Source organism: Homo sapiens, chromosome 12 (assembly GCF_000001405.40).
Source record: "Homo sapiens chromosome 12, GRCh38.p14 Primary Assembly".
NCBI lineage: Eukaryota > Metazoa > Chordata > Mammalia > Primates > Hominidae > Homo > Homo sapiens.
The window spans coordinates 2,185,058-2,212,274 of NC_000012.12; the positions used below are offsets into that span (position 1 = coordinate 2,185,058).

At 47.6% G+C, this 27,217-nt stretch overlaps 1 protein-coding gene across 55 annotated transcripts in view, besides 5 other annotated features; it reads left to right on the plus strand.

The window, feature by feature from the left end:
• Positions 1-27,217, plus strand: part of CACNA1C (calcium voltage-gated channel subunit alpha1 C) — a 727,171-nt gene that overhangs the window by 214,278 nt on the left and 485,676 nt on the right. The window lies entirely within an intron of this gene.
• Positions 2,175-2,675: an enhancer, noted in NCBI's record as "H3K4me1 hESC enhancer chr12:2296398-2296898 (GRCh37/hg19 assembly coordinates)". NCBI's record gives its function as "activates a minimal SCP1, AML or CMV promoter by ChIP-STARR-seq in naive H9 embryonic stem cells {active_cell/tissue: H9 hESC(naive)}" and the evidence as "EXISTENCE:reporter gene assay evidence [ECO:0000049][PMID:30033119]".
• Positions 3,958-4,553: an enhancer, noted in NCBI's record as "H3K27ac-H3K4me1 hESC enhancer chr12:2298181-2298776 (GRCh37/hg19 assembly coordinates)". NCBI's record gives its function as "activates a minimal SCP1, AML or CMV promoter by ChIP-STARR-seq in naive H9 embryonic stem cells {active_cell/tissue: H9 hESC(naive)}" and the evidence as "EXISTENCE:reporter gene assay evidence [ECO:0000049][PMID:30033119]".
• Positions 6,166-6,733: an enhancer, noted in NCBI's record as "H3K27ac-H3K4me1 hESC enhancer chr12:2300389-2300956 (GRCh37/hg19 assembly coordinates)". NCBI's record gives its function as "activates a minimal SCP1, AML or CMV promoter by ChIP-STARR-seq in primed H9 embryonic stem cells {active_cell/tissue: H9 hESC(primed)}" and the evidence as "EXISTENCE:reporter gene assay evidence [ECO:0000049][PMID:30033119]".
• Positions 6,734-7,303: an enhancer, noted in NCBI's record as "H3K27ac-H3K4me1 hESC enhancer chr12:2300957-2301526 (GRCh37/hg19 assembly coordinates)". NCBI's record gives its function as "activates a minimal SCP1, AML or CMV promoter by ChIP-STARR-seq in primed H9 embryonic stem cells {active_cell/tissue: H9 hESC(primed)}" and the evidence as "EXISTENCE:reporter gene assay evidence [ECO:0000049][PMID:30033119]".
• Positions 13,186-13,480: a silencer, noted in NCBI's record as "tiled region #515; K562 Repressive non-DNase unmatched - State 24:Quies". NCBI's record gives its function as "represses a minimal TATA promoter and a strong SV40 promoter by Sharpr-MPRA in K562 cells {active_cell/tissue: K562}" and the evidence as "EXISTENCE:reporter gene assay evidence [ECO:0000049][PMID:27701403]".

Here is a 27,217-nt window from a genome sequence, read left to right on the forward strand (position 1 = left end):
CGCAGCTGTAGTTCATTCACCATGCTGTGGCCAAGCAGCAGGAGTTCAAATGTCCCCACTGCCATCTCCAAGTTGTCTCTCTCGGGTTCCTATTTCCCTGGCTTTTGTCACTCCCACCTCACCTGTGGCCCACATTCTTCTCTATTTGAATGTGTGGCAGGCAGGCGAGATAGACAATGGGGAGGAGTTGTTCTGCAGGAGAGAAGGGGACAGTCCTTCCTCCAGCCTGGAGCACTTCCTGCACCGCTCCCCACCCCGTCTACTCTCCATATCCCACCACGCCCTCAGGGCCTTGCCCTAACCCCGGAAGCCCACCTGTCTCTTGGCTGAAATCCTATGGGCTGAGTTGGGTCCCCCCAAAACTCATGTGTTGAAGCCCTGTCTCCTGTACTTCTAGAATGTGACTGCATTTGGAGACAGGGTCTTTAAAGAGGTGATTAAGTTAGCATGAGACCATTAGGGTGGGCCTACTCCAATATGATTGGATTTATAAAAAGAAGAAACTTGGACACAGACACACATGGACACAGACACACATAGAAGGAAAAGCATGTGAAGACATGGGGAGAAGAGGGGCAACTGCAAGCCATGGCGGGAGGCCTCATGAGACATCCACCCTGCTGGCACCTTGATCTTGGACTTCCAGCCTTCAGGAAGTTCATTTCTGTTGAGTAAGCTGCCCTGTCTGTGGCACTTTGTCAGGGCAGTCCCAGCACTGCCTCCTGCCCTGTCTGTGTGGCCCTGGGCAGAAGCGGCCTGGGAGTGTCACTCACCCTTCCTCCTGCACCACGTGTCTTTGCCCGGTGGGCTCCAGCCGCGCCTGGGCAGCAGTCTAGACTTCCTGCAGTCTCTCAGGCTTCTCTGTGGCTGTCCCGTGCCGAGCGCCCAATGCACACTTGTAGCCTGATTGATTGGTTTTCTCAGCCAGGGCACGGATCGTTTCCTGGCCGCTCTCTGGCTCCTTTTCCAGGCACCTCACTCGGTTCCCTACTCTGAGGTGGCTACGGCCAGACTCGCCTCAGCAGCTGCCTCCACTACGGGCTGTGGTTTTTGGTGAGCTTCTTTCAGTCCTCTCATCTTTATGGGAAAACTGCCCAGCCCAGGACCAATTAGCGTGGGATGGTTGCAATAAAGGTCTCCCTTCCCGACATGTGGCCAGCACAGAGCCTTCCCTGGTTCCCTCCCGGCATTTAGTCACAGTCCCCAGCTGTGTGGTCGGTCCTCTCGGCTCATGTTATGGGTGGCCGGGAAGGCAGGCTGTCTTGGGATCTAGGCCCAAGTGACTAGGTCCATTGTGGGTGAGGCAAGGTGGCCACCTCTGCATCCTCCTAGGGGTGTCCTGAAGCGGCTGCGGGCCATGGGCAGGTGGCCGCTGAGGGGGTAAGGGTTCCTTTCAGTGTGAAATGTGCCTGTACCCAAGAGAACTTGCCTTCACTTTTTTTTATTTTAAAGAAATGAAGGGAGAAATAGAGACTAAAAACCCTGGGGGTCAGGGTCTGTGAGACAAACTGAGATGTGCTGGAGACATTGCTTATGGATTTATTGATCCCTGACTTGTTCATACCATGTGCCTGGAATTCAGCACTTACACGTTTCCATAGCACAATGGACATCAGTTTAATCATAATGGGATTTCTTAAGTGATTACTATATGCCAGGTACTATGCTAAGTCAGTTATCAACACGACCTCCTTTAATCCTTTCGACAATCCGATGGGGAAGCTCTCATTAGCCCCACTTGCCAGAAGAGGAAACTGAGGCTCAGAGTAGGTTACATGACTAAAAGAGCAGGGGCTCTGCATTCAGGTCTGCCTGACCCAGAGTGTATTATCTTAAACATATGTGACACTTCTTGCTTGCCTTCCTGGTGCTGCACCATCTGTTTTTCCCTGTGAGGTCCCCTTTCCCCACAAACTGGCTGTGAGCACACCCGACCCCTTTCCTGTCCTGCTGCCCCCTTGCCTGTCCTGCTGCCCCCATCCCTCGGTGCTCAGCTTGTTGCCAGCAGAGTCAAACACACAGACTCATGGTAAAACGTTATCTTACATTTGTGTACCTTTTCATGTTTTCAGAACCTTTTCCAGGCAGTATCTAATTTAATTTTTACCATCATTCTGTGAGTGAATATTTTCTGTCTTATGGTTGGGGAAACTGAGGTCAGAGAGGTTAAATGATTGCCTGGGGTGGCACTGCCTAGCCTCTGTGTGGTGGAGCTAGGACCCAGTCGAGGCTCGGAGTTCTAATCCACCAGTCTACCCTGGTAGGAACCTCTGTGCAAAGCCAGCCCCCATAGCAGCCTCTCTGTCTTGGGCCAAAGATACAAATCAGCAACGGCCAGGAAATGATTTGCATGAGGAACTGAGGTGGGGCGGTGGGCAGGAGAGAGGCTGAGGCAGCAAGGGACAGAGTGGGCACACAGAAACTTCCCTCTGGAGGCCTCAGCCTCTTCCCAAGGCTGAGCATCTGCGCAGGGCTTAGTTTGTTCATTCCTGGGAGCTCCAGGTAAGTCTCCCTCTCAGAGGGAAAAGCTGATTCTTCCAGGCAAGGGTGAAGAGACCCACCTTTCTGAGTCAGTGACCGACAGGCCAGAGGGCTGAAGATGTGGGCACTGCGGTGAGAACCGGAGTAGCCAAGGAAGCAGGGTGGTCCCCACAGGGGCGGCGATTGGTTTGTGGGGTCCCTGCCTGTCCTCCGGAGAAAGATTACTAAGGAGCAAAAGCCGACTTTGCTCGGTGACCCCTCCTGGTGCCACATCCCTCATGCCTGCAGCAGAAGGTGGGGGGCTCCAGGCCCCTGACAGGTCATCCTGATCTCAGAGAAGAGTCTGCTGCCCCCAGGACGGGGACTGAGCTGAGGGCGAGGAGGATGCCAGGAGAGGCACCTTGGCCCCTGCTGTGGTATTGGCCACAGGTTGGGAGCTGCCTTTCCCCGAAGCCCTAGCTTTGCTTCTGTGAGAAGCAGACACCCAGCAGCATAAGCAGCCTGCCTAGGAGGCTTTTCACTAGGAATTAAAAACACCAAAAAGGAACTTCTTATCAGCAGGTACCCTAGGGGCCACATGGACTGGTAAGTGGTATCTTCCCCATGGTCTCTTAAGGCCTCTGAAGTCCCAGACCCTCAGATAGTTGGCAACTCTGCCTTTCCGCATATCAAACATCTGAAAATGCATCTACCTCGCACATCAAATAGAATATATTTGCTATAACACAATTGGGAAGAATGGTTGTATTTTTTATAATGTTGAGTTTTATTAAGAATAAATTATTCATTTTAGTCTTGCAACATAAACTCTTATTCTGATAGATAACTATGGATCGAGATGCATTTGACTAGTTGGCACAATGTTAATTTTTGTAGATGTTGTGTGAAATATTTATTTTGATTTTCTAGTTTTATATTTTGGACCCAATCTAGTTTTGTTTCTGATTTTCACATTTTTTTTCAGGACAGTGAAAAAGCTTATAGGATATAAGAGTTGAACCTATTGCACCTAATGGATAAAATCTCTTCTGTCTCTCCCCATCCCCAGAGAGAGAGAAAAAATAAAAATAAAAAGAGAAAGACACTGTTTCAGCAAATTGATATTCGGTTTTTAGGCCTATATTATACTTGGGTCTCAGGTCCTCTAATCTCCTATTTGGTGGTATCCTTATAAAATACAAGAAGTGTTCTCTGAGAAATGTGGAAAATTTCTGACGATCCCAGATGATACTAAATCAGTTGCCCCAAATCCTTTAGAAGAAGGAAGAATAAGGCCAGGCACGGTGTCTCACGCCTGTAATCCCAGCCCTTTGGGAGGCCGAGGCAGGCGGATCACGAGGTCAGGAGATCAAGACCATCCTGGCTAATATGGTGAAACCCCGTCTCTACTAAAAATACAAAAAAATTAGCCGGCCGTGGTGGCGGGTGCCTGTAGTCCCAGCTACTTGGGAGGCTGAGGCAGGAGAATGGTGTGAACCCAGGAGGCGGAGCTTGCAGTGAGCTGAGATCACACCACTACACTCCAGCCTGCGCGACAGAACGAGACTCCGTCTCAAAAAAAAAAAAAAAAAAAAAAAAAAGACACATTCCCAACGTGAAGCATCAAACAGCTCAGCTTTTCTAAGTGTTGGGAGAAGTGGAGAACACTGGTTCTCCTGGGATGGTGCCTGGGTTAGCACCATTGTGTGGATCTGGTGTAACCTGATACAGGATTTCTCCCCTTGCCCAGTAAGAGAGCCTTGTGCTAGATGGATGCAGCGAGGACAGAGGTCCCTTGCTGGCTGTGTGTGCAAATATTGAGCACCAAATGGCTACCAGAGGAATGGGGAAGAACTGACTCGGGATAAGAGTGGGATGCGTACAAGGAGAGAAGGCTGGAGAAAACCTTGCACGCTGCGGGAGCAGGCTCCCCAGGACGTGTCAGAAGGGCCCAGTCCATGGAAACAGGGAGACTTGCCATATGGGCCATCGTGGCTGCCTGTGTGGGGACTGAAGCTGGGCGCTGGCTGCTGCGCGAGATGAGGGGGCCAGGTCCAGCTTCCAAAGGGCAGCTTCCAGGCAGAGGGCTGCTAACTGGCTGGAAAACTATCAGCGTGTGGAGTGGAAACCTGTAGGGGCAGGGAAACCAAGGAACATTTGGCCATCTTCCGCCATTGTGATTTACCTGCCATAAGAGAAGCTAAAGTAAAACAGCATGAAGTTGTGGCCAGCCCCATTAAAATAACGTGCTCATTAAGGGCTCTTACAACTAGTGATATTTAAAGAAGAAAGAAAAAAACTCACAAAAGTACTTGAGGCAATTATCTACAGCAAAAGAAGATGCAGATCCCTTGAGATCACTGACGCAAGAGAACAAAGGAGGTCCCAAAAGAGGCTGCCTGTGATCCAGGTGAGAGCCGAAACCTTCAAGGCTGGGTACCAGTGCTTCTTACACCTGAGTGAAGCATCTTGGGACATGCCTTGTGGTTCAACGTTAAAGGAATAGCACAGCCAACCAGAACCTGCTCTTTGTTAATGGAATGGAATCCTCTTTCTGCACTAAAAATGAGATGATGTGAAATCCTTTAAAATTTATTGGAAGGAGGGAGGGCTTTTTGTGCATGATGCGTTACCAGGAAATGACACTGTCTCTCTCCTTATTGCCTAATTAGCAATGTTGTACTTCTGTGTGAAATGGCGTGTTTAAACATTGCCAATCGATTTAAACAAAAGATTTCAAAATACTGTAGGATGGAGCACAGTGAAAAATTCCTTGCCAGCCAGCGTTCTCCCAGGTAAGGTTTTTGTCATTCAAGGTGTGGCTGCACAGCAGGGAAGGCTTTGCTCATCCCCGCCCCGCAGTGCCCCATTCCCTCCATCAGCCGTTTATCTAGCATTGGGTCTGGTTTTCTGTTTTTTGTTGTTTGTTTGTTTTAATTTTTTCAGGGTATCGTAGACGTGTTGGGTTCCACTAGGCCCTGCCAGCCATTCACTTATTTATTCATTACGCACTCAATGAAGACATAAGCTGTGCATTCTAGGTGCAAAGGACGTAGAAATGAGTATAATACAGTTCCTTTCCTCAAGGAGGTCAATCCAGTGGGAAAACAGGTGTGTTTGTGGAAAATGGAAATACAGCCGGCAGGCGAGGAGGCTGTAGAGAGAGGAGCACAGTGCTCTGAGTAGCCTGTCTGCTGTAGCAAGTCACCCCCAGCAGCTGGTGGCTTCACAGAGTAAAGGTTAGTTTCTTGTTCACATCACAGCCCAGCTTGGATTGGTGGGGTGGCAAGAAGGGTTATTCAGGGTCTCAGAATACTTCTGCCGACAGGCTGTGCCATCCTCTCAGGCCTTGGAACCCGCCCCCTTTTAAACCCCTGAGTCTGGCTGACAGATAAGGGCCCAAGTCGCACCCATGTTTTAGGGTCTAGGCCTAGAAAGGGTGCCAGTCATTTCCTGCAAGTCCCATTGGCTGGGACTCAGCCTGTGGCCCTGCCTTGTCCAGGGATACTGGGAAGTGTGGTCCAGTGCCGTGCCCAGGAGGAAGAGCAGGTGTGGTGCACGTCAGCCATGTCCCCACTCCACGGAGCAGCCCGTTCACCCTGGGGCGTCAGGAGAGGCTCTGTCAGAGGGGATTTTGCCAGGGAGATGTGGGGTGTGGGGTGCTGGATGTGGGGTCCAGGAGAGCAGGGGCATGAGAAGAGCAGCAACCCAAGCAAGGAAGAGGAAAAGGCCTGGATGTGTCTTCAGATAGAGACAGACTGAAGCGCCGGCCCACACTCACCAGCAGCGTGGCTCTGGGCTTGGTCCTTAGGTGTCCCAGGTGTCTGTCTCCGCACATCTTCCCAGGCCTTCTCCAGCGTACCGGCATCACCTGGGGACTGGCCCTCTGCAGTCACGCTGGCTCCAGGCTCACCGGGAGTCACGTTCTCTGGCTGTGACTTTCCTTTTGCTGTGGATTAACCCAGACATGGGCCTGATGCTTTTTCTTTAATGTATACACACACATACACTCACACATACACACATGGACACATTCACTCACATGCACTCACATGTACTCAAGCATACACACATGCACTCACACACATGCGCTCAGGCACACATGCACTCACAGGCACACATGTAAACAGGCACACACACGCACATGTACTCATACAGGCACACACGTACACCCAGGCACATGCACACATGGTCTCATACAGGCACACACGTACACACAGGCACACACATGCACTCACACACAGGCACACCTCCACAGGCACATACATGCACATGATCTCACGTACACAGGCACACGTATGCACACACACATACACAGGCACACACATGCACTCACACATGTACTCGCATACACAGGCGCACACGTACACACAGGCACACACATGCACACATGGTCTCACACAGGCACACACCTACACATGGACACTCATACACGCACACATGTACTCACAGGCACACGTGTACACGCACGCACACATGTATTCACACACATACGTTCACACATATACACGCACTCACACATACAGGCACACACATACACACTCAGGCACAGACACACACACACACATGCACGCACATGGGCGCGCACACACACACCCCCTCCCTCCCTCTCACGGTTTTTGGTTCAGCCTGCACTCAAGTTTTTGGGAAGATGGAGCTGACATCACAGTAATGTGAATGTTGAATATCTGAAACTTCTGTGCTGAGAAATCCCCTCAGGCCTTTTTGCCAGGTTGGCTGCTGTGTCTTCCTATATTTCTTGCCCTTTCCACCTCTCCCACTTTGCTGCTCCCAAACAACTCTTAACACCCACCGCCCCCTGTTTTTGTTATACAGAGCAGTTCAGCCCTCTCCAGTCCCCACCCCTGAGCTCAGCTCCAAGCCTTCTTCTGCGCGTGGATTCCCGTGCCTGCGGACTCACAGCAGGCCGGGCCGGCTCACGTGGGATGGACCCTGTCTCCTTCCACAGGGAGAGGGGCAGTAAAGACGTCCATTTCCCATGCTTTGAAGGATGTCACTGTCTCAGAAGGCAGAAGCTAATTGTGTCGGTTTTAAGTACTTTTTCCTTTTATGTTTAATTTCATTAAAGTTAATTTTCCCTTATGTGAAATGTGAATGCTGCCATCACAACTGGAAAGTTGTCGTGAGAATTAAAGATGATAATGTATGAAAGTGTGTAACACGGTACCTGGCACTCCCCCCACTCTCCCCCTCCTCCACACGGTACCTGGCACTCCCCCCACTCTCCCCCTCCTCCACAGAGCCCTGGAAGACTTGGCGGTGCTGTGATACGTGTAGTGTGTGATGGGGAGCGGTGAGGGACAGCTGGAGAGGGTGCGCTGAGCCAGAGTTTCATGCTGTGTGTTTTTCCGAGGAGGTGGGCCTTTGTCCTCTGCATTCAGAGTCAGAAGAGAGTTCATCAGGTACAAATGGGAAGAGAACCTTTTAAACAGCTGTCTGTTTGAGCAGATTTCCCCACCTCGGATTCAAGATGTCATTCCATGTAGGTTTGCATTTGCAGGGTACACCCAGGAGAAGCTGTTAGTTGCTGTGATTCCACACCTGGAGTGAGGGGAGAACATCATGGTTTCCTGCCAGGTGTGCTGGGGCTTACTGGCCCTGCCAGGAACATCTGGTTGAAACTTGTCACGTCAAGGCCGGGTGCAGAGGCCCATGCCTGAAATTCCAGCACTTTGGGAGGCTGAGGCGGGTGGATCACTTGAACCCAGGAGTTTGAGATCAGCCTGGGAAACATGGCGAAACCCTGTCTCTACAAAAAGTACAAAAATTAGCCAGACCTGGTGGCACATACCTGTCATCCCAGCTACTTGGGAGGCTGAGGTGAGAGGATGGCTTGAGCCCAGGAGGCAGAGGTGGCAGTGAGCTGAGATTGCACCATTGAACTCCAGCCTGGGCAATCGAGCTAGACCCTGTCTCAAAAAAAAACAAAAAACAAAAAACTTGTAAAGGTTCCATGCACTCCTTCCCTGTAGAGGCTGGTGTTGAGAGCTCGCCACCTTTCCTTCTGTTTAGAGGTAGGAAGAGAACTCAGGCAAGCGATGAGCAAGCCGTCTGAATTGAGCAAGGGCCTTGGGTTGGAACCCTTCTCTCCCCTGCTTTCCTGGTATCACAGTGCTAGACTGGGCCTCTGCAGCCCACCCAGCCGAGGAGGCCCTTCTCCTACAGCAGCCTTGACAGGTCTGTCTGGCCTCTGCCCTGACACCTCCAGGGCTGGCCATCTATGTGGGGAAGATTATGATTGGAAGGAAGGTTTTTCTTAGAGCTGCCAGTCTTTATTTTCTACCTGCTGCTCTTCATTTTGTCCTCAGAGGAGGAACGTGTCCTCTCTTCCCTAGGACGTCTGTCTTGGTATTGAAGACAGTGCTTCTGTGCTTCTTACTTATCTTCCTTGAGGTTAGCCATCCTTGTCTCTGCACCCTCTCCCTCAGTCCTGGCCACTCCCATGTGAACCTCAGTGTTTATTCCTGACCCAGGATACCTCAGCTCCAACTGGACCCCAGGCAGTAAGAGGCTTCCTCTTAGAGTCAGCGGATTCCCACTGATGCAGCCCAAGATTACCTGCCCCGTCCTCCTCCTCCTGCTCCTCCTCTGGCTCCTCCCACTCTCCCTCCTCCTCCTAGTGCTTCTCCTCCTGTTCCTCTCCTCTTCTTCCCCTCCTGCTCCCCCCTGTGTTCCTCCTCCTCCTTCTACTCCTTTTGTTCCTCCTCCACTGCCTCCTCCTCCTCCTCCTCCTCCTCCTGCTCCTATCCCTCCTCCTCCTACACCTCCTCTGCCTCCTCCCGTTCCTCCTCCTCTGTGCTCTTCCTCCCTCTCCTCCTCCTCCCTGCTCTTCCCCTTCCCCTTCCTGCTCCCCCTCCTCTTCCTGATTGTCCCCTCTTCCCCCTCCTCTGAGCAGCCATATTACATAGCTTACTCACGTTGACCTTGTGCTGCTGGTGAGCTTTGTTTCTCCCTTTCTGTTCATGTACTGTTCTTTCTCTTGGATATTTTCTGCCAAATGTTTTTCATTGATGACTTTGCTCTTGGGTCTCCTTGCCTATCTTCCTTCCTTCCCCCTTCCTGCTCTGTGACATTCTTGTTTACATACCCTCTCCACTGTGAGCCTGGTATTTCAGTGACTGGAGAAGTTTTGGGCCTTATCTGAGCTGCTTTCCTTGTTATCACTTATGTTCCAGCAGCTCGATCCATCTTCCCATGCAGGAACGTTTCTCCCCAAAGTCCTGACCCTGCCGTGGAGCACCTGAGGGGAGGAGTCACTGGGTTTCTGGCCTCAGAGGAGCACAGTGTTCCCCAGGACTTACCCTGCATCCGTATTGGAATATCTGAAAATTTCATCACTGTTGAAAATAGGAATGTTTTCTGATCTAAGGTCTTCTGAGGACATTGGGGACACTTTATTCCCAAGAGCAAACACTGACTAGGATGTCTTTTTGGCTATGATGGGATCTGGTAGAAAGTTTCAAGCTACTAAAATAGGGAATGTATTCTAATGTTGTCTTGAAAATGAATCAAATACACTTCCCTGAATGAAAGAAGAGATGTGTGTGTGTGTGTATTTAAATCACCGATAGCAGCAGTGATGATGGTGACAGTCACCCATGCCGTGCCTGGCACCTTGCTAAGTGCCTGCACACATTGTCAGTTGGTCCAGGCGGTAAGTCATGAGGAGTGGGTTTTAGTGTCCCAAAGCCTCAGGGAGGTTAAGGCATGTCCTGATCACAGCTGGAGGACCTCACCACGCCCCTCCCTGTGGAAGGAGGGATTCTTCCGCAGGAAATGGAGTTTTCCCACAGAACACAGGACAGGCAGGGAGGAACTCACTGGGGCTCATGGCTGTGCTACTGCTACTACCACTGGGCAAATCTCTGGGCCTCAGTTTCTCCTGTAGTAAAGTGGCAGGATTGAATTGGATGCACTTAAGTAGGTTTCCAGCTCTAAAGATCTATGATTTGTTGTTTCCCTTATTTCAGTGACAAGTTCCTTTGGAAAACATTGCTGTCACAAGAAAAAATGCCATCATCAAAATGTCTTCTGATGTTGGACAAACTGAATGGGGGTTAGGAAACCACTTCTGTAGGAAGCAGGGGTAGGGATGAAGGCAAGGAGGACAGATGGATGAGCATCCTAAACAGAATAGGGAAATAATTTTAGAACTGATTTTTCAGGGAGTCGCAAGATTATATTACTCTAGCTCTCGCTCTGCACCTGGAATTCGACAGTGCTTAGGATAGGGAATGTCGAAACCGGGAAGGGGCTTCCCCTCAGCCCCAAACTCAGAATTCGTATGTCAGATCTGGAAAGGGACCACAGTGACCACTTAGTCCACTCCTTCATTTTATGTCAGCATCCCTGGAGATCCCAGCCTTTGGGAGAAAAAGACTCCTGAGGCCACGTGGTCCGAGCTCCTGGAGCATCGCTGGCAGAGGAGTGTTCAGATCAGATGGTCCCCAGCCTGTGCACCAAGTGTACCATCCCTGCTAAGTAGATCTTAGTGGAGCAGGGCTTACTTCAGGGATGTGGAGCTTATTGGGATCCTTCAGCCTCTCTTCCAATAACTTCTGCTTTAGAGATTATGATGTAACTGATGAGAACTGTCTTGAGACTTCCTTTTGTACTTAAAGTGGATGGGGCAGGCTGGTTTAGGGCAGTGTACCTGGGGCAAGGAGTCTGGGGTCCTTCTGTTGGTTTAGGAAGCTCCTCTTGTCTGTCTGGCCTGGATACTTGTGATTTGCCAGCTTAGTCTAACAGTTAACCACCTCTTAGTGGGAAGTAATGAATCCAGGATTCTCTGCTACGCTCAGGTGATAAATTGTGATAAAGTCAAGTCAGAATTTCCCAGCTTAGGTGTTGTGAAAGCCCAAATGAGGCCTGATAAGATATTTTGAGTTTTTCACACAGAAGTAATTTATAGATGATTCCCAACTTTTGAACTGCTCTTTTATTTATTATTAAGTTGGTGTTTCAAACTTAGAAAACTGCAAATGGCATTTAGTTTTCCAGGCTGGCCTGTTTAGTGCATAACACAGCTGACACACTATATGGTTGCCATAAATCATAATGGAAAGTAGTATTTTTGCAAATGGATAATGTAGAATTGCAGTTGCAGACTCCCTGAAGGCCTTCAGTGGTTCCAGCCAGCACATGAACACATTTACACTGAAGCGTAAAAGACGGTTGCTTTATGCATCTTTACTCTGCTGTGAGGGCCATGAGGAGCAAGAGGTCACTGGGTGTCTGCAGGCAGTCCCAGGGAAGCAGCGACCAGAGCAGCAGGGTTTAGCCTTCTTATGGTCATGGGTGTGTGCAGCCACACGACCTCCTGAAAAACTGCTCCTGGGCTCTTCAGAACTGCCCCAGACCAAGGGTCCAGAGTTGTTAGGAGCCAGGGGGGCTGGGGAAAGCGAAGCCTCTAGGGCTTCTCAGATTTTGAGGAGGACAGAACCTGTTAGCCACCTGCCTTTTGCTCAGAAAAGGTGGGCTGGAGCTGCCCAGCAAAGTAAATGCAATGCCTACCTCCAGAGCCTGGCTTTCCACGAGGTACAGGCTGGCCCTGAACACCTGCCTCCTTCCAGGTGCTGTGCTGTGCTTTTGAGATCAGGAGTGGAAGCTGGCAGAACCAAGAGAATGCAACACACTGGCCTCCACCTTGGCCCAGAACATACCCACCACGCCCTCGGGAAGTTTAAATCCCATCACTCTCTCTGCTGCTTTTCCCTGTTACAGTGTGTAAACTGAGATTCCACACTTGGAAATGCATGTGTTCCTCTCTGGGAAGACCTCCTTGCTGCCCCCATCCCCCTGCATCTTGTGTCCACTGGATCCTCTCATTGACTGTTGACAATGCTCAGTTTAATGCCAGGCAGCGTACATTCAGACTGTACCCCAGGAAATCTGACACAAACTGTGTTTCCCATTGATTTTAAAAATTAAGACTCAGTGATATAATGTCACTTATTATTATGTAATAAAGCCCTATTATGGCTAGTAATTTTTCAGTGACTAGCTGAATTTTACTTATTAGTGTTCATTTAAGTCAGCCTGTAATATGTTCAGTGCAAGTACTAAAACTGCCTTTCTTCAAAAATCAGAAATTTGACATTTTTTAATCAGTCAGGACTTCCTTCCTTTCCCCTCCTCCAAAAACATCCAGAGAAGTGAGATTTTCTCACATTTAAGTCAATGATTGAATAGAACCAAATTGGGGGAAGATTAATTTTTGAACCAGTAACACCAAACTGAAATTAATTTTACTAATTTCAAAATCTGACAGTTTTGAGGACCCTTTAATAGAACCAGAGCTTCTGAAAATAAGCACCTACTGATGGGTTCAGTGCAGAAATGAACCCAGGTCTAGAACTGCAGTGTTAAGAGATGATTTCCAAACGAAGCTGTGGTTTCATTTGGAACGCTTTCTTGATTTACATGTTCTGGGTTTTGTAAGTTTAATTCAAATTTATTTTCTCCTAAATGCATTTTTACTACCGGAAGGCCCCCGTATGGAAATCACCTTCTCTCATTATGCAGCTTGCCTGGCCCAGAGGGTGAGCGGGCCTTGGAATGAGGACACCCGCCCTGGCTGGGAGTCGAGGCCGAGTTTGCATCCAAAGCTGTAGCACAGTGCGGCCCACAGCAAAGGGCATCCTCAGGAAGCAAGGTGCTTGTGTTTGTGCCTTCGTCCTTTAAGACAATACCCAGATCTGGCAGCATCTTCTGCAGCAAGCAGGAGCTGATTACCTGGAGCTCTGCCTGCCTCTCTCCCCGCCTCTGCCTCCCCCCGGAGAGGCGGCTTCTGAGGAGGCTGCTGTTGGCGGCCAGGAGAATTCCTTGTCTCTGTGGAACCGGAGGCCTCCCCTCTGCGGCTATTTAAATGTGTTCCTCCGGCATGAGGATGACTCACCGTTTAACAATTAATTACAGCTCCGCATATTGTAGGCACTGCACCTATATGGGGGTGTAATCTCCGTGCGGCACCATGTTGATGAGCTGCTTCTCCACATCACCAAATTGTGAGGACTTCGATTTTAAAAAACAGAAATTGAACCAGGCTTGGAGGAAAAGGCAAATTTATACAATGCCTTTGATATGAATTCTTTTTATTTTCTTCTCTGTGGCTTGCAGTTTCCACCAGGGTAAAGCAGGCAGAGGTGGGAGGTGGGGAGGGAGAGACAGGGGGTTCTGGCTAGGAAGGGAACGGGCAAGGAAACTGCCCACTACGTGCTGTCACCTGGTGGCTGCTGTGGCCGGCCCTCATTCCCACCACATCAGAGAGAGGCATAATAATCTTAGGTGATTTTTTTTAAGTTTTCAAGGTGAGGATGCATTTTACTATATGCTAATTTTTCTTAATCATATGTTATGGTTTATTATCGACAGATCTTTTAAGAACTTTTCCTGCAGTAAATATTTCAAACTTTATAAATTAAGTATTGGCTGCATAAAGTCCTGTTGCCTGAGATTTGTTGCAAGTTTGTCCTTTTTGAGATACATCGAGTGGCTCCAAGTCATTTGATCATGATCGTGTCCATGATATCTTGATAGACTTTTAAGCGTGAATCCCCCTGATCTCTGTCTTGCTGCCTTCCCCACACCATCCCCTCAACTCCCCTCCCAGCCACGAATTATACTTCCTCACTACCCAATTTCTTTTGGTACCAGGAGAGGGCCACTCTTGTTCTGGCCTCAGGGACGTTGCACTTGCTACAGCTGACTCTTGAACAGTACGGGTTTGAACTGTGTGGGTCACTTACACGTGGATTTCCTTCCATCTCTGCCACCCCTGAGATGGCAAGACCAACCCCTCCCCTTCCTCCTCCTCAGTCTACTCAATGTGAAGACGATGAGGGTGAAAACCTTTATGATGGTCCACTTCTACTTAATGAATAGTAAATATATTTTTTCTGCCTTAGGATTTTCTTAATATATTCTTTTCTCTAGCTTACTCTACTGTAAGAATATAACATAAAATATATATAACATATATAATATGTGTTCATCGACTATCCTGTTGGTGAGCCTTCTGGTCAATAGTAGGCTATGAGTAGTTAAGTCTCTGGGGAGTAAGAAGTTACCTTGGATTTTCAACTGTAAGGGAGTCAGCGCCCCCAGTCCCCACATTGTTTAGGGGCAAACTGCATTCCATCTTCTTGGACTGCTCTTCCCACAGGTGTTGCCCCCCTCCCTTTTCCTCTGTCAGGTCCCAGAGCATGGGTTACCACCACAGAGAGGCCTCTGTGGATGCCTATGTAAAGTGGCACCATTTACTTCAGCCGAGAGGTGAAGGCTGCCGTGAGGCAGGACCATATCACTGCACTCAGTCTGGGCAACAGAGTGAGGCCCTGGCTCAAAAATAATACCAATAATAAAAAAAAGTGCTACCATCCTCCCAGCTCCTCACTCCCAGGAATCACTCAGGAGCCCATGGTTCTGTCTTATTTTGTTCATCGCACAATTACTATCTGAAATGATCTCATTTATTTACTTATTTTTTGTCTGCCTCCCACCAGAATGTTCTCTGTTCTCTGCCGTATCCTTAGCACTGAGCAGTGCCTGCACATGGTGAGCACTCGACAAAAATTTATTATAAGGATGAATGAATGGATGGACCCTCGATTCTGTTATTATTATGTTTTAATCCAGACAACACTCAGGAGTTTCACTGTATCAGTATATCCATTAGGAAGGTTAGTAATGTGTAAAAACTCTCCTGTGAATGCTTTCATTCAGTACTCAGTCTGTAAGGGGTAAATCCTTCAGCAGACTCTTGAGGAGTGTTTACCAAGTGTCAGGCACTATTCTAGAGCAGTGGCTCTAACCTAGGGATGATTTTGCCTTCCAGGGGCAGCTGTCAATGTCTAGGAACATTTTTGGTTGTCAGGGTGGGTGGTAGGTTGCTACTGGCATCTAGCGGATAGAGGCCAGGGAAGCCGCTAAACATCCTGCCATGCACAGGACAGCCCCACAACAAAGAATCATCTGGCACAAAATGTCAATAGTGTCAATAGTGTGAGGTTGAGAAACCTTGTTCTGGAGTCTGAGGATACGGTGGTGACAGGGCAAGGCTCCTACTCCCATGAAGCTTATATTCTGTTGCAGGAACCGGGATAGATACACAATAAACAAATGAGATTATTCTGGGAATGACAAGGGCTGACAAAGAAAGCAAATAGAATGTTGCGATGGTAGCTGTGGGAGTTACTTAGATCGACGGATTGGGGAAAGCTTTCTGAGAGGTGGCATATGAGCTGGGACCCCTCCAGATGAGCTGGAGGCAACCCTGGAGATCTGGCAGACCCTACCAGGAGGAGTCAGACAGCAAGTGCTAATGGGGAAGGGGAAAACTTTCCAAAGGTTCTGAGGTTTAGGTTGGTTTCAAAGAGGGCCATTCACTCTGGGGCTTGAATGTGCTTTTATCCAATGAAGGTAGCCTAGACATCTGTTTGAAAAACCATTAGATTAGTATTCTTTTTTGCAATATCTCGTTTTTTGGAAAGAGCTAAGCTTCCTAAAAAACGTATTTTTCTAGACTTCAGAGTTCCTTAAGAGTGGTGGTTTATCTTTCTGAGGTTGGCTGCCATGTTGATTCCTCCTCCCCTTTCCCAGAATTGGGAGTCTTACAGCTTTGTCTCTCCACTCAGTGCTCAGAGAATCACACACACAGTCCCAGGATAGGACATTCCAAAAAATAAAGAAGGGCACAGAGAAGGTGGGGGACCTTCCCCGCAACTTAGCCGCAGTTGGAGATTCAATAATTGAGCCTGAAAGATCACTTTAATTTCCTCAATAATAGTTTGGTGTTCTTATGTGTTAGGTTATAAAGCCCTAAAACGCAGTATAATTCAATACCATTGTGCTACAAACCCACTAACACTTTTTTCTTCACTGCCCAGCCTGGCTCCTCCTCTTAGGAGTCGCATGTCCATACAGAGTCCCAGAGAAATTCTACATCTTTCTCTGTGTTCTCCCAGACTGAACAGAAGACTGGAAATGTCTTCCCTTAGGTCTTTGCTGCCAATCTGGGAAATGTCAAAGGAATTAGCTTTTCTTTCTATACTTCTAGCATGTATTTATCCTCGCTATAAATGTCACTTTTTTTACTGCTTGTGTGTCAGTCAGGTTGCTTTTGGCTGCAAGTGTCCTCATGACCCTAACAACAAGTTACTGTGTCACATATCAAGTTCTGGGAGAGGGAATTCCAGGGGGAACAGGAAAGCGTGTCTTCCTTGAGTGAGGAACCCTCTCCAAGAACCCTCCAGCAGACTCCGCCATGCTTCATTGGCCAGGGGCTGGCCAGATATCTCTTTAGCAGGGAAGATGGGATTGGCTTGGGTGAATTGTGATGTGCCTCCATTGCTTGGGGAGAGGTGACATCCAAACAAAATCTGGGCACTCCCAGCAAGGGAGAAGGAGGGAGTGCTTCTGGGTAGGCAACGATTCCAACTTTATCATTTGTCTTCCTGGCAAGGACTCAGAAGATACTGACCATTTATATTTTTCTGGTTCTTCATCACATGCAAGAATGTCTTTTGTTATAATGATTAGAGAAATGATAATGATCGTGGGCCTTTGTTTCCCCTTGCCTGAGCTGGGCCTTCACAATGCACAGGCATTGCTTTTGATAAATTGGATTGACTTAGAGGATTTTAGACTTGGAAAGCCTTAAAGAACAGCCAGTTCAGTCTTTGTCTTTCCACACAGGGACACTGAGCCCAGGCTGCCATGTGGCCTGCCCAGGACCTCACCGCTTGTTCAGCTGAGGCCCGCACGCTTTGGGTGCACAGGCTCTTACTTTGTGTCTTTTTCCTAATTTCATGAAGCCTGGTCCCCGTTTGCCTCCAGCTAATCAATGCTATTGTACACGTTTAGGTCTTTATCTCAGTTGAAACCTGCACCAGAACTGGAGAACTAAGTAGTAGTCATATATAGCTCAGCATGAATATTAGATATTTCTTATTTTAAGTCTTCTCTTGAATCATTTAAAGACATTTCAATCACTTATTAACAGGTATGGAAGTTGTTTTGGGGGATGAGGACCTTCAGTCCTCTTCTTGGTCCTTCAGAACCACATCATCTGGGTGGTGCCTCTTCTGCCCCTTCCTCCTCGAAGGCAGCTCTGCCACCACTAACAGCCACAGAGGAGAAGAGGAAGGGGACTTGCTTCACGTGGGAAGGAGTGTCTCACCTGAAGCATCCTTGGACGCTTATTTAATTTAAAAATGTTTCATGAGCAACTTCTGAGCTCTGTTGTCCTCTTCCCCATGAGCGGAGGGTGGAATGAGGCTTGAGGATAAAGGACCCTGGGCCTTGAGAATGCTTCAAGCCCCGGAGATGAAGTTGTCTGTCTGACAGAGGTCCCCAAGTCTGCATCCAAGGAGAGGACCTCTCTTCTCTATGAAGAGATGCTTTGCTTCTGGAAACCCAAGTACAATCCTAGAAACCTAGGAGCTGGCCATTTGTACACCGAAAGTTTTCTTTTTTTCTGTGTGAATGGAATCCCCATCAGGATCCTATTAAAGTTCTCTGGGGAATTTAGAAAGGTCTTGATTTCCATGCTGGGGGTGTAGCCATGCATACCCTGTCTATAGTGAAACGTACATAGTATTTTCCATGAAGGGAAGTGCCTGCAAACTATTCAAAGTATCAGGCCACAGGAGCGACCAGCCAGGACTGAGAAGGTGGTGTAGGATGGGATGTCCGCCTGCGATCCATCTCCATGCTGTCCTGTCCTCATGTCCCCATAGGAACAGTTATGGACATTGGACTTTTCCTTCTTACAGTCCCCCTCAGTTGTGGTGCTGTTGGCATTTTTGCAGGGACTGTTCGTTGTTAGGGGCTGTCTCACCCACTGAAGGGTAGACCTTGGTTAAGGTTAAGGATCCTTGAAGGTTTAGGATCCTTGGCTTTTACCTGCATTCAATTACCCACCCAGGTATTGCAGCAACCAGAAGTCCCGCACCAGCTTCTCGCCATCTCCCGTGGAGCAGACTGCTCTGGGCCTCTGTTACAGGACGGATTAGGAGTCAGGATTCTGGAGGTGGCTGCAGTCCTATGGCCAAGCCGGTACCTGTACCTCCAGGGATCCGCATTCTTAGGAGGGTTTTCTGAATGTAGGGAAAGAGAGCACCAGGGGACACTGCTCCTTCAGGGTCACCCACCAGCCCCTCATGGCTTCACTCAGCCAAGAAGCACATTGTATCTCCTTGGGGCCCTCTGGCATCTCCTCTGCCTTCATACTTGGTCCTGGGTTGCATGCATTTGGGATATGTTTTCACACCAGAGAGCTTGCTAGACAGAGCCCAAGGGGATGGAACTGAGTGAAGTGACCTATAGGCCTACTTCTGGCCAAATCTCAGGGCCCAGGTCCCCGGCACAGGTCTTTGCTGCGTGTGATTTCTGCCCCTTCATGGGGGACCAGGAGGCTCTGCAGTCTTTTGGACATTAAATGATGCTTGCAAAACAACAATGTGATGAGTTAGGAATGAATCAGAAGCAGACGAGGGACATTTAAAACCTCTTAGATTACAGTCCCACCAACAGTGTAAAAGTGTTCCTATTTCTCCACATCCTCTCCAGCACCTGTTGTTTCCTGACTTTTTAATGATCGCCATTCTAACTGGTGTGAGATGGTATCTCATTGTGGTTTTGATTTGCATTTCTCTGATGGCCAGTGATGATGAGCATTTTTTCATGTGTTTCTTGGCTGCATAAATGTCTTCTTTTGAGAAGTGTCTGTTCATGTCCTTCGCCCACTTTTTGATGGGGTTGTTTGTTTTTTTCTTGTAAATTTGTTTGAGTTCATTGTAGATTCTGGATATTAGCCCTAGTTCAACCATTGTGGAAGTCAGTGTGGCGATTCCTCAGGGATCTAGACCTAGAAATACCATTTGACCCAGCCATCCCATTACTGGATATATACCCAAATGACTATAAATCATGTTGCTATAAAGACACATGCACACGTATGTTTATTGCAGCATTATTCACAATAGCAAAGACTTGGAACCAACCCAAATGTCCAACAATGATAGACTGGATTAAGAAAATGTGGCACATATACATCATGGAATACTATGCAGCCATAAAAAATGATGAGTTCGTGTCCTTTGTAGGGACATGGATGAAATTGGAAATCATCATTCTCAGTAAACTATCACAAGAACAAAAAACTAAACACTGCATATTCTCACTCATAGGTGGGAATTGAACAGTGAGATCACATGGACACAGGAAGGGGAATATCACACTCTGGGGACTGTGGTGGGGTTGGGGGAGGGGGGAGGGATAGCATTGGGAGATATACCTAATGCTAGATGATGAGTTAGTGGGTGCAGCGCACCAGCATGGCACATGTATACATATGTAACTAACCTGCACAATGTGCACATGTACCCTAAAACTTTAATAAAAAAAAATAAATTAATTAAAAAAAACAAAAACAAAAAAAAAACCTCTTAGATACTCATTCCCTCATGCTCACGTTCCTCCCCAAAGAACCTCCTCCCTTCCCAGGGAGAGGGTCTTGGCCACATGTGTGGGAGGCTCTGCAAAGCCAGTGAGCTCTTCCACCCACAGCAGTCCCAGGGCCCTGACATTCCTCCTTCCCTTTCCTGGTTGCCAGACTTTCTAGAAGGAAGCCATGTATTCGGGCACTTCTGAAGGGCTGGGTGAAACTAGGCAACAGACTTCTGCACGTTACACTGGGAAAGCCAGTGTGTGGAGGTGCAGCGTGACCTGAACCAGTCCTGAGAGGCCAGGTGTCCACACTTGGCTGTGGGGCTTGGCTGGTGGGGGCAGGGCATGTAGCCTGGGTACAGGGAGGAGGGGGACTGCCCAGAGGCACTCACTCTTAATTTGGCTTTCTCTTCGGGTCTCATTATGTGTCACTTAATGTGAAAAGTCTGCTTTAGACTCCTATTCTAAATCACCTTAACCTTTCATCTTGCCCTGTGGTGCTCTTGGCTCCTATAGCACTGAAAACAATGTGTAATTCTATATTTATTTATATGTTTATTATCTGTCACCCCCAGTAGATGGTAAACTGCATGAGTTGGGGTCCTGTGCATTGCAAGTGCTGGCATCTTAGTAGCTGCAGAATGAATAAACAGTGGCAGTAGCATCCTCTCCGGCTGAGTTTTTAGAGTAGGAAGTAGGCAGAAGGTTTGGGGTCATCTTAGTTTGCTCAGGCTCCTATAACAAAATACCGCAGTGGGGGGACTACAAAGACGGAAATGTATTTCTCACAGACCTGGAGGCTGGGCAGCCCCAGGATCAAGGTGCCAGCAGATTTGGTGTCTGGTGAGGGCCTTCTTCCTGGCTCGTGGACATTTGTCTCCTCACTGTGTCCTCATATAGTGGAAGGGGCGAGGGAGCTCTCTGGAGTCTCTAAGAGTGTTAATCTCATTCGTGAGTGCTCTGCCCCATGACCTAATTGCCTACGAAAGCCCCTCCCCCAATATCATCACACTGGGGGCTAGGATTTCAGCATAGGAATTTGGGGGGACACATTCAGTCTGTCACCATGTACATGGACTGTGCAGTGGGAATTACCCTGATTTGAGGAGTGTTTAGGGAGGGGGAGGGCGAGCTGGACAGACCTGGGATGGCTCCGCGTAAACCGTGTCTGCAGCATCCTGGGAGCCTGCTTGAGATCCGGCCCTTCTAAGGAGCTCCAGGAGACTTACAACCCAGCCCTTGGAAGGAGATCCAGAGGGAAGAAGGCCAGTTGATGACTTATGAAATGTGGATTTGTATTTTCAGAAGTGCAGAGTAGTATTTTAAAAAAGCAGATGAGACTCTGAGGGTTGGGAGAATGGCAGAGCATGGGAAGTGGAGGCTGCTTCGGATCCGAGAGGAGGCACTGTGAGATGTGGAAAGAGCTTGGGCTTTGGAATGGAACCTGCATTTGATTCTAGATTTCACCGCTGAGTAGTTATGTAGCTTTTGGCCAAGTCACTTATCCAGTCTGAGACTCAGCATTTTTATCTGCAAAATGGGGCTAGTAACACTGCCCTCTTTGAGTTGTCATGAATATTCAATGAGATGATGTGTGTACCCACCTCCCTACCTACTCACTGTCCAATGAGTGTTTGTTCTTTGTTCCTTTTCTCTCTTGAATAGCCAGCGTGGCCAGTTTTAAATTTCTCTTGCTCTCCAATCTAGTCTAATTTATTCTGTCAGCTGTCACATCTACTAACTAGGTAGTCCATAGGTGCATATTATATGCATGTAATGGACCCATTGTTGTGTGAAGGGTGGTGAAGATTTAGGAGCACAGATTTATCCTGCAGACCATCTCCCACATGAATGTGTTCCTGGGAGAATACATTTTGGATTTTTAATACCCATGCTTCGTATTTTATACACATATTTTAATAAAATGATTTTAAGCTGCTGTTTATATAGGAAATTATATTTACAGCCTCCAAATGCAATATAACATTTTAGTGAAAAGTCTTGAGTTACATTTCAAGTACAGTTGATAGAATGTGGGAATCTCTTGTGGGTGTTGTGTAGAGCCCGTCGAGTGTCAATAAAGGGGACTTGCTTTGGGGATGTGTCTGGGCCCCAGGACCACATTCGAGGAGCATCTTTCCCTTCCCAAGGCAAGGCATCTTGGCTACATGTGTTGGAGGATTTGCAGAGCCAGGATTTGGGGGATAGACCAGGCTGCTTTCCCGACCCATGACACACCTGGACTCTTCCCTTCCCTTTTTCTGGCTGACAGTCTTCCTAGAAAGAGGTCATTTGTTTGGCCCCTCCATGGGGCTGTGTGAAGTCAGCTGACGGGCTTCTGCACATTAAGCGGAGAGGTCAGGAGCACGTTATATTCATTGTGATAGTTTGTGTGATAGTTCTACTATATAATAGACATTATGCTGTATTTTGTTACTTTTAGGAAATACATGATGAAGTGTTTTGGTTACATTTTAGGAAATTGGCTTTGAGTTGACATGTAATGCATTATAATTTTTCTTATTTAAAAGATGAGAAATAGGCCAGGTGCGGTGGCTCAAGCCTGTAATCCCAGTATTTTGGGAGGCTGAGGTGGGAGGCTCACTTGAGCTCAGGAGTTGGAGACCAGCCTGGGCAACATAGCAACACCTCGTCTCTACAAAAAAAAGTAAAAAAAATTAGTCAGGTGTGGTGGTGTGCACCTGTAGTCTCATTTATTCTGGAGGCTGACACAGGATGATTACTTGGGCCCAGGAAGTTGAGGCTGCAGTGAGCTGAGAGTTGAGATCGTGCCACTGTATTCCAGCTTGGGTGACAGAGCCAGACCCTGTCTCAAAAACAAAACAAACAAAAAAAACCATGAGAAATTGGCTAGCGTTTCCCACAGAACATCTGACTTTCGGGAAAGTCTTATTGATGTGTGCCTTTTTTACAAATGGTCCCTATCTTCAAGGCGTGGATAGTGTTTTTAGGGAGACAGAACAAACAATAAGAATGGAGCATTCATATAAGGAACATAACAAATAGCACAAGGAGGTACGCAGCCAAATTAGTGGACCTTTGAGGACGGCAGGGCTGGAGAGGATGGGTAGCAACCACATACGCCATGGCTCTTGGAATTTCAGACTTTAGCAGTTTCTCAATGAATGTTCCTTAAGTACCTGTCATGCACAGGTGCTGTGCCAAGTATAAAGTGATAAGCAAGGAAGCGGAAAACGTAGCATGATGCCCAGCCTGAACTTCTCTATGTCTAAGAGGAATGAGAAGACATTAAAAACACACAGCACAACATGATTCAAGGTAGAAAAGTTACAATGTGCTAAAAGAGAAGAACAGCTAGACAACGCACTGCTCAGAGAGGGGAGATGACGTGCACATCTGAGAGGTTGCTGTGGCTTTGGCTAGGACAGTTATCTTAGCTGAGATGGCCTTAAGGCAAGGTCTTGATGAGGGCTGCCCATGTTATTAACACCTGGCACTGCAGTGCCCGTTAGAGTGGATGCCGCCGGCTGAGGGAGCTGGCAGGCTCTGGAGCCCTCTGTCCCCTAGGCATAAATCTGCTATGCAGTGCATTGGAGGGAAGCTCCAGGGACCTAAGGAAGGATGTCTGGGTGGTGGGTGGCATTTGAGGGACTCAGGGCACTGATATTTACCAACCCATACAGTGTTTTACTGTTTAATGACCAGTATGTTTTACCATGCACAGTAGCTGAAGATCAGCCCAAATTGGACCCCAGGGGTAGGTAAGCTAATGAAGCCAGAGGTGTAGGCTATCCATCCTCTTTTGTCCCAATCCAGGAAATGTATTTTACCCAATAACAACAGTCCTGTGTTCTTGGAGGGTGTTCCACCTGGCGTAACCTAAGGGTCTAACTTAGGGTTTAAGTACCCTACATTGAAATAATAGAGAAACCTGTGACCTGACCACTCTAATGATTCTAATCAAAGTGCTCCAGCACTGTGATCCCTGCCCCAGACCCCTGGGCCTCACCCCCATCCAGTAAATAGAGGGTTTGTGCATGGCAAAGCTGAGGGCCGCAGAGCCCCGCGCCAGCTCTCCCGGCCAGCAGCGTCCATGCTGATGGTGGTGTTTGTGCAGCACCTGGTATGAAATCTTGTAGCTATCACCCCCCTGGTTCCCATGCCTGCCACTTCTATCAGTAAGACGCAGCGAGTCACACAGTACCACAGTGAAGTCTTGGTTTTGGATGAGGTATGTGATTATAAGAATTTGTTTTTATAAAAACAATAATCATCCTAAAAACCTGTGTAAGCCTCCCCTCTGCAAACCAGTATGGTCTGAAAGAAAACCAAGTAAAACAAACACCAACAATCCTTATGAACAAAGGAGTGGGAAGGGGTATGTTCGACGGTTGTAATAGTAAGAAACTCACGGGGAGGAGTCATAGTGTGCTTGAAGTTTGGTGGCTCTCTGAAGACAAATGGCGCTCCATCTGTGTGAAAGGGAGCGAGGGAGTGGGGGAGGCACGCCCGTGGCTGCTCTGTAGCTGGGGTGCTGTTTCATAAGGTGGTTCACTGACTGGTACCACCGTCACACAGCGCCCTATTACCAGTTGTTTACCCAAGAATAAAGAATCCGAATTATATTTTAGAAATACAATTTAGGGAGCTGAAGTTTAAAATAACTATCTTGAGCTTCAGAAAGCTCATCTCTGGAAAATATTCACAGAGGGATATTTGTACTTCCAAGGGAATCTGATGGGGCAAGAAGCAAGTCAGATTTCTCTACTTTTCAGTTAATGGACTCCTTAAAGATTATGTTCGTATTCCTTTAAAATAGTAATTGCTTTGTTTCCTCAAGAGCCAAGATCCATCCAGTCCCTAAATCAAATTCTCAACTAAAATCAGAAGGTTTAAGATACAGTTATTTTAAGTGCTGCATACTCTTAAAAATGTGTGTCTGGTTATGTTGTGTATATAAGTGGCTCATATCAGAGATGCAGCAAGTCAAGCTATATAAAATTCAGTAACACATGCCAGAGAAGGAAGGAGGGAAGAGAGAGAGATTGAAAGAGAGAAAGAGATGCTTATCCTTTTCTCCAGGAGAGGCTCGAATTTTACTTTCAACTTGTTTCTAAAAATGGCAGATGCAAAGTAAGAAAACAAATGTATCTGTTGCAGGAAGGAAGGAAGGACAGAGAGGGGAATCTGATCTTCAGCCTGATGTGATATGTTTTTATCTGAATGCTTTTGCAATAGAACATCTGGGAGGCAAGTGAGAATTGGGGTATGCCTATGTTTCAACAGTTTCATTAGGGTCACAGACCTTTATTTCCCAGGGCTGTGATAGAAAATATGAACTCTTCCATAGTTGGGAGTTGAGGAAGGGGTAGGCTGAAACAGTGGCATCTGTAACAGTGCATGCCATCAGTGGGATGTGATGATAGTGCTTATCACAATAGCTTTAAGACTTATGCCCTCTTTCTTTGGAAGCATTTAAATAGCTAGCCTTGTTTCTCTTTCCTAGGAGGAAGCCTGGGATTGATGTTGGTACCTCCAACCTGAAGTCTGGGAAATTGGTGGGGGGTTTGTTGACTCAAGTTTATAAGTGGATTTTTAACCCAGTTCACGTGGTGCTTGTGCTGACACTGACATTTTGTGCTGCATGATCTGGAAGTTGAGGCAAACATTATCAATGTTAGACTGGCAGAATCTGAGAGGACAGGGTCCCAGTTTCAAAGTTTAGAAACATTTCATTGATCAAAGTGTATTAGAGAAAAAAGCATTAAGTTAATTTTTTCATTCAGTCATTCAGTCATGCAACATACCTTTCTTGATCATCTGCCAGGACCCCAGCACATTTCTGGAGGCTGTATTTGGGGGCAGATTGAAGCTAGGTGCAGTATCATCTCCTCTCTGGTAACTCCTTTCCAATTGAATCTGCAGCTATAACTGGTATTTTGTGCCACAGAGAAGGAAGAAAGTATACAGGTGGGCAAGCTGGGATTATGTGTATCAAGATGGTTATAGTAATGGAGGAACTATCTCTTGGGATGCATTTTAGCAGAAAGGAACATAAAGCATTCAAAAGAGTTCTATTCTCTAGTTAGTGTCAGGACTGACTTTTCTTTGTTCTGTGGTCAAGGAAGGCCCTACTGAAAACCCAGGAATCAAGGTGGGTGTTTGCATGAAGGTCCCTTCAGCGTCAGCAATGAGAGCAGTAAATCAGGCAGAGCTCCCTGAATTAGGAGTCCTCCCAGGCAGTCAGGTCAAGGTCAGATTTAATTTGGGATTTTGTAGTTTACAGGATGCTACCCACTTTCTTACACCTCACAGTAACCATGTTCCAGCAGCTTATTGGATTGGTCCAGGCTGTGCCTGGTGGTGAGAACGTCAGGTTTTGTGGGCACATGGCTTCACCAGGAGAGGTCTGGGGTGTCTCATGTTGGTAGAGAAGGAGTATGTCCGTGGACTCTAACTTCTCTAGAGGCAATGCCAAAGGCAAACTGGATAGCTGTTGCTGCTGTAGTTTTGTAAATCTATGACCCTCTGTTGAGGCCTCTTTAACTCTAGCAGCCTTATGCATCTTTATGATTAATTCAGTAGGACCCCACCAGCAGACTCTCCTTCTTCTAAGAGTGTAAAGTCATTCATGCAGGTTTGGCCTTGCTTGGAGGTTAGGGCTTGGGGGGACATGAGCAGGGCTTGCCCTCAAATTCCCAGTCATTTGGCTCCTCCTTTCTTTCACCTGTTACTCTTTCTGCTGCTTTTTTTTTTTTTTTTTTTTTGAGACAGAGTCTTGCTCTTTTCTCCCAGGCTAGAGTGCAATGGCATGGTCTCGGCTCACTGCAACCTCCGCCTTCCAGGTTCAAGCGATTCTCCTGCCTCAGCCTCCCGAGTAGCTGGGACTCCAGGCGCCCACCACCACTCCCGGCTAATTTTTTTGTATTTTTAGTAGAGATGGGGTTTCACCATGTTGGCCAGGCTGGTCTTGAACTCCTGACCTCAGGTGATCCACCCGCCTCAGCCTCCCAACGTGCTGGGATTATAGGCATGAGCCACCGCGCCCGGCCTCTTTCTGCTACCTTTACGTTATTTACACAAGCTTGGAGGCCTAGAGGCAGGAGCTGGTATTTGGATCAATGGCTGGGTAATCCAGAGCAGTTAAAGAACCAAGAAATTATTAATATTTTGTTCCAGGTTATATGTTTTTATGGGGTGATGGTGAAACAAAGAATGAATTTTGTTTCCTAAATGTGTGTTTCTTGCACTGATAGCAAAATTAGCCACTGTTTACATTTCCTGAGCACTCATCAGCCTGTGGTAG